Source organism: Homo sapiens, chromosome 5 (assembly GCF_000001405.40).
Source record: "Homo sapiens chromosome 5, GRCh38.p14 Primary Assembly".
NCBI lineage: Eukaryota > Metazoa > Chordata > Mammalia > Primates > Hominidae > Homo > Homo sapiens.
Genome location: NC_000005.10, coordinates 54,964,221 through 54,970,868, shown reverse-complemented (window position 1 = coordinate 54,970,868; position 6,648 = coordinate 54,964,221). Strand labels below are relative to the sequence as shown.

The 6,648-nt window shown below is 40.4% G+C and overlaps 1 annotated feature.

Moving 5' to 3' along the window:
• Positions 4,734-5,028: a silencer, noted in NCBI's record as "tiled region #7071; K562 Repressive non-DNase unmatched - State 24:Quies". NCBI's record gives its function as "represses a minimal TATA promoter and a strong SV40 promoter by Sharpr-MPRA in K562 cells {active_cell/tissue: K562}" and the evidence as "EXISTENCE:reporter gene assay evidence [ECO:0000049][PMID:27701403]".

The following is a 6,648-nucleotide window of genomic DNA, read 5'->3' as shown; positions in this document are numbered from 1 at the left end:
TGATCATCTTAAAGTACTGTGGAAGGACAAGGACTCTAGCGTTTTTGAGTCAGAGGGAGGCAGGATTCACCCACTACACTACTCAGTAGCTATTGGCCTCAGATGGGTTATTCAACCACGATGCCTCTCAGTGTGTTGTGTGTGAAGTGTGGGTAATGGCTCATGTGCAAAGTTGTAAGAATCTTTGCACATGTTTTAGATATGCCAGTGAATTCTAACACTGTGTCTGCCATATCCTAATCTTTCCAATAGATGGCAGATAATTTGTGTTATTATAAAAGCCAACCTCATTTTTTTTGTATTTTAAGTGTCCAATAATTTGCCACAAGACTGAAATATTTAAAATATTTTACATTTTCTATTCAAGAAGGCTAGATAAAAAGATTGAAGAAAATCTACTAACTTCTTAGCAAACTTGAAGATATCCATAGAAAGAAAATTGCAATGAGTGAAATTCAATTAATATCATCTGAAACTCTCACAATCCTACAAAAGAAGTGACTATTTTTAAAGAACAAATAGTAGCGTTCTATTTAAATCTCCACACAATTATTAGCATGCTCTTGAGAAAAAAAAAGGCACAATGCTTCAGGAGAATGCAAGGGACCCCTACAGATGTGGCACACTTCCCTGTGTGTTATTTTTAGTCTTCTATTCCTGCCTTTTATTTTGGGACTTGGCCCGCTTCCTTTGTAGTTTCCCCTTAAGTTGCTCATACCTTTCTTTCTTATATAATGCATTTTAAGCTACCCTTTTATTTTTTTTTTCACCTCTCAAAGGAAATTCAAGGAATGTTGGCCAGTTCAGGAACTCCTGCTAGTCTTGGCACCAGTAAAGTTCTTGGTTTGAAAACAACCTAGGAAATCCAGGATCGTGGTTGACTTTCCAGTTATTTAATGCATCAGAGCTGCTGACAGATCTGAGCCTGGAGACACGTTGATTTTGAATACCATTTCATGAAATTGTTTTATGGCTTATAGAAACTAGAGGAATTTGAAACTGGACTCTTTTCAATAAATTGATATAAAAGCAATATCCAGTTTTAAAAATTAGGAGAAAGTCGAGTAAGTCTAGTTCAGGGCTATTTAATCTTTTACCAATTAGCACTTAGTTAGACAGTCTTGGTGGAGGAACATTTATTCTGCACTATGTCAATGGAAGCAGCGTGAGAAGATGAAAAGTTATGGTTCCGTCTTTAAGAAGCCCTGTGGAGAAGCTGTGGAGATGGAACATAGAAAACTGGAATAGCTGTAGAGACGGAACAAAGAATACTGAAAGGCAAAGGTGCATAGTTTAATCATGTGCCGTAGTTTATGTTTCTTTGGATGCAAGTAAAACAAAACAGAAAAGTGAAAAAACTGACTAACTTCAACAACAATGTAATTTATGGGTAGGTATAGAATGCCTCCCAAAATGGTAACAAAAACAAAAACAAACAAAAAAACCACCTGTTGAATCAACTGGTTCGGAGAGCACAGGGCAGCATGGGTGGTGCAGGTGCCAGAGCTAATAGATATTTTTGCCAGATTGTTGCCGCTGAGATAAAGAACTACAGTTGCTTTCTTTGTGTTCCAGTGCTGCTCCATTGCTCCAAGGCTCTTTGAAGCTCCTCTTTGGGTTAACCTCAGGCCTGGTGGCCCATTTTAGTGAATAGCTCAACTGTGACAAATATTCTTCCTTGTAGACGGATTTCATTTTTGGATGTAGTCAAAACCACTTAGAGTCCTGTCTGGCCAATGAGATGTTCATTAACTTGGGCAGTACTGTTTTGGTGAAAACCAAGATGTATTTAGGGGAGGAAAAATAATTTTCTGTCTACCCTGTATAGTTCTTGGCTGGGACTCTCTGTGACAAAAGACAGATCAATAACAGAAAAACAAACAGCAGTTTAATAACATGTATACATGGGAGATAACCCAGAAAAATGAGTACATTTTTGGAATAGATCTCAAAGAGGTGTCTTAGACTTCAGGCTGAAATACCATCATTTGCTGAAACAAGGAAAGAAGAGTGTGGGGAAAGACCTGGTGAAGATGAGATAGATGGCCAGGAAAAGCACTGTAAAATGAGGGCTTGTTTTGCAGAGGTAAATTGATGCCTTCTCCGTTGATTATGCATCTCTAGTGATTTAGCTGTATTTCTCTTCCTGGCACAGAGACAGAAAGACACCCTAACAAATGCAGACTTTCCTTATAGATGTAAATTTCTCTTATAAAAATAGGGCAACTTTTCAGAGCTACTCCTGTGTCGGCTGTTTTCCAAAATAACCAGCTCAAAATAATCCTTGTGCCACAGAGGCATATTTAGGGTGACATATTCTGGTCTTCTACAGTAATCTTTAGGGGTGGCATGCCCTGAACCCCATCACATATATATAAGATGATAATTAGGAGTAGAATTTAGGCAGGAAGGAGTGCCTTGGGGGACCAAGAAACTTGCCCTGTGGTTTTGTGGAGTTAGGAAATAGGGGCCCACCTGAAGTCACCTGTGTTAATGGCACTTTTGGAAGAAGCACCAGTGTGTTCCTCAAATGTCTTTGGAGTTGGATGAAGCTCCTCAATGGATGGAGCGGGGGCATAGATAGAACCAGTGTCGGGGGAAGGGCTGGGCCATCGGGGGATGGTTGGGGGAAGCAGTCACCCTTTGGCTGCCCCTTCACTTGTCTCAGTATCTGACCAGTGATTTTTTTAAACTGAAATGATTTATTTGGTGTCAAAGACAAAAACATTATTATTCACAATTGCCTTAAGACAAAATTGTCTTTTAAAAGATTTATTTAATATCTATGATTTTCTCTTCTTTCTCTTGAAGTATATTTTTAAAAACTCTCTTCCTGTCAAAGTCACCTAAATGGCTGCAACTTATGCTCAAACAGGACAGACAACATATAATATAAATATATACATATTGAGAAAGAGATTGATAAAATAAAGGTGATAAAACATTAAGATTTAAAGAATCCGTACAGAGGGTTTATGGGTCGTTTTTTCCTTTCTATTTTTGAAGATTTTCTCTCTTTCTGTAATTAAGTCAAAATAAATGTTAGAAAATGATCGTTGATATTTTGTTCACCCATTCCATGTTGCTTCCTTTTCCTCCTTGTCTTTACAATAAGTATGTCAATATAACACCTGTGAAAAACTTTGAAAAGCTGCTACTCCTACGAAATATGCTTGGAATGGTACTGCCCCCTTGCTCCATGCCCTGTAGTTTGAAGGAGGCCCTACATATGCTGTGCCCCATCCCTGAGTCTGCATGGGAGCAGTGACACCCAGAAGCAGCAGGAAAGGCCGAGGTCTGCCTCATTAAGGTGCCAGAACACCTGCTTTTGCAGGTGGAAGTGAAGCAGTGCCTAGGAGGACCATGTCAAGACTGGAAACCATCATTCTCAGCAAACTATCACAAGGACAAAAAACCAAACACCGCATGTTCTCACTCATAGGTGGGAATTGAACAATGAGAACACATGGACACAGGAAGGGGAACATCATGCACCGGGGACTGTTGTGGGGTGGGGGGAGGGGGGAGGGATAGCATTAGGAGATACACCTAATATTAAATGATGAATTAATGGGTGCAGCACACCAACATGGCACATGTATACATATGTAACAAACCTGCACGTGGTGCACATGTACCCTAAAACTTAAAGTATTTAAAAAAAAATACTGGCTCCAACTCCTGCAGCAAGTAAAGGCAATGATTAGAGGTGTCCACACCCAAGTGAGATAATATGCCAGGGATGCTGGGGAGGAGTTCCCAGGGTAGATGCAAGGCTCTTTTTAACCCTATGATCACTGTCACTTGTAAAGTACCACACCTAGTCAATGGTTATCTTCTTTTATGTGCAATTACTTTCCGGGCAGTAAAAAGAAGGAATTAGCTATGTTTATCTATTTTGTTCCTATTCAAGCAAGATTAATAATCAATTTTCAGAGGAATACTGTAGTTGATAACTGTTATATTTCTATACAGATGGTTCTTTGATGATGGTTCAACTTATGATTTTTTGACTTTACAAACTTGTGAAAGCAATACCCATGCAGTAGAAACCATACTTTGAATACCCATACAGCCATTCTGTTTCTCACTTTCAGTACAGTATCCAATAAATTGCATAAGACATTCAACACTTTATTATGGAATGGGCTTTGTATAGATGATTTTGCTCTAATGTAAGTGTTGTGAGCACATTTAAGGTAGGCCAGGCTAAGCTGTGATGTCCAGCAGGTTAGATGCACCAAATGCATTTTCAACTTATGATATTTTCAACTTACAATGGGTTTACTGCGGTGTAACCCCACCATATGTAGAGGAGAATTTGTGTTTCCATCTTTGTGGGTTGGTAGCAGTTACAGAGACTGTCCTGGTATGTCAAGGTTGTAATTCTGAAATTCTGGAATCTCAGGATGAGTGAGAATGTTTAGACCTGCCTTAGCTTGATGGGTGAAAATTCAGATGGAAAAACAGGGTCAGAATTTTCACTTCTCCCAGAGGCTGTTTTCTTGTCCTTGAGTGTGGACTCAGCTGCCCTCATTTAGTCTTTTATGTGTTTTGAAGTAAGGAGAGAAAAGGTACGAGAAAGAGTCCGTTTCCTGGGGAGGAATTGGGCCCGGCATCGGGGTAAATCTTCTCAGACACATTGTTTACTGACCAGGAAGTTGGAATGTGTGTGGCTTTGGGATTTCTTTGTAGGGGGCGTTTTGTTTGTGAGTTTTGGAATGATGCACCTTGGGTATGATGAAGAGGACTTCACTCTATGCTGTGGGAAAAGTTTTGCCCTTAATGTCTTGAAAACATGAGCTTGTTTTTCTGAAAAAGCTGAGTACATCCTCATTCCTCATTGTCACAAACAATGTGACATGGACCTGGAGGCAGGCCAAGGTTTTCTATGAATAGAACTTAGCAAAGAGAGTGTTAGAAAGACTTTGGATTCACATGGCAATCCTGGATGCCTGATCCCTAGAGAGGAAATGATCTACCTGCCCTTCGAAGGTGGAAACTTCGAGGATCCCCTCTCATCCTCTTACAAGCCATGGCAACCACTGTGTTATGGCTGGCATAACATGCCTTCCACATGGCTGAGATGATGTTGGCTTTGCTGGGAAGCATTTGCTTTTGAGCTGTTTTTGCAGAACTAAGATGGATTTTGAAGGAGAGAATACATGTTAGAGAAAAGCTGGGGCACAGTTGATGGTGCGGAGCAGGGCAGTGCCATCTGGTTGGTCCTTCATCGTGCTGTGCAAATGCCATGCTTTTGTCTAGGCTTGTGTGATGGCAAGAAACAGAAAGCCAGTCAGAGGGGCCAAAGTTAAAAAAAGAAAAGTGGGTCGATGGGTAGTTTTGAGGATACAGAAAGCTTATGAAGTATGGCTGGTCCTATGGGAACTGGAGAAGTGACAACTCCTGTCTCTCCCTCTGTGGCCCAATGACCATATGACTGTTAGCTTCTTTATGCCAGGCCCACTCTCCTTTCTGTCCACTGGGCTTTTCTGCTTAACCATAATCTTAATAACAATAATCACATAATACCTATAATAATAGCTAACACTTACTATTAAATCTGCACAAGCTCTGTTCTAATGCTTCACATGTATTTGTGTGTTTAGTCCTCACAACAACCCCATTGAGGCAGGTACTATTTTTATACCCTTCTCAGATGAGTACAATGAAGCATGTGGAGGTAGAGAAGCTTACCCAGGATCATGTAGTTAGCGTGTGGCAGAGTTGGGTCTCAGACCCAGGCAATTTGGCTCTGTTTTGGTTTCCCATTACCTTAGCTTGGACAGGTGTTGCCTTGTTTCAGCAGTAATTTCTTTCTCAACTCCATATAACCTTTATATTTCTAGACTTCCTGCACATTGTTTGACTAAAGGATGACCACTGAGTATATCACTATAAATTTTTGAGAGAAAAATTCTACTTGGTAGCAGGTCAACTAATTCATCTTTCAAAAAAAATTCATCTATTGCAGCTCTTTCACTGTGTATTCCAGTTATTTTTTGGTGCTATGGCAACAGAAACCCAGTATAAAAACCATTTGATATGGTTAGGTTCTCTGTCCCCACCCAAATCTCATCTTGAATTGTAATTCCCAGGTGTTGAGGGAGAAACCTGGTGGGAGGTGATTGGATCATGGGGTAGTTCCCCCCATGCTTTTCTCATGATAGTGAGTGAGTTCCCATGAGAGCTGATGGTTTTATAAGTGTTTGGTAGTTCTTGTCTTGATTGCTTCTATTTCCTGCCACCCTGTGAAGAGGTGCCTTCTGGTGTGATTGTTAAGTTTCCTGAGACCTTCCCAGCCATGTGGAACTGTGAGTCAATTAAACCTCCTTTCTTTATAATTACCCAGTCTCAGGCAGTTCTTTATGGTGGTGTGAGAATGAATTAATACACCACTTAAGTTTTAAAAAAGGAATGTATTGGCTCACATTACTAAAATAGGTACAGCTGGCTTCAGCTTTGGCTGAATCCACAGGCTTCACTTACCTTGTCTGATTCCCCATCTCTCAGGAGAAAGTGGGTCTACTCTGGTGACTGTAGAACTTTCTCAATAGCTACAGCAGAAAAGTCCTAGAAAGTACTCTGGTGGGATAGTCTGAGTGACTAGGCCAGGACTGGGAGTGGGGATGAAGAATTGTCCATGGG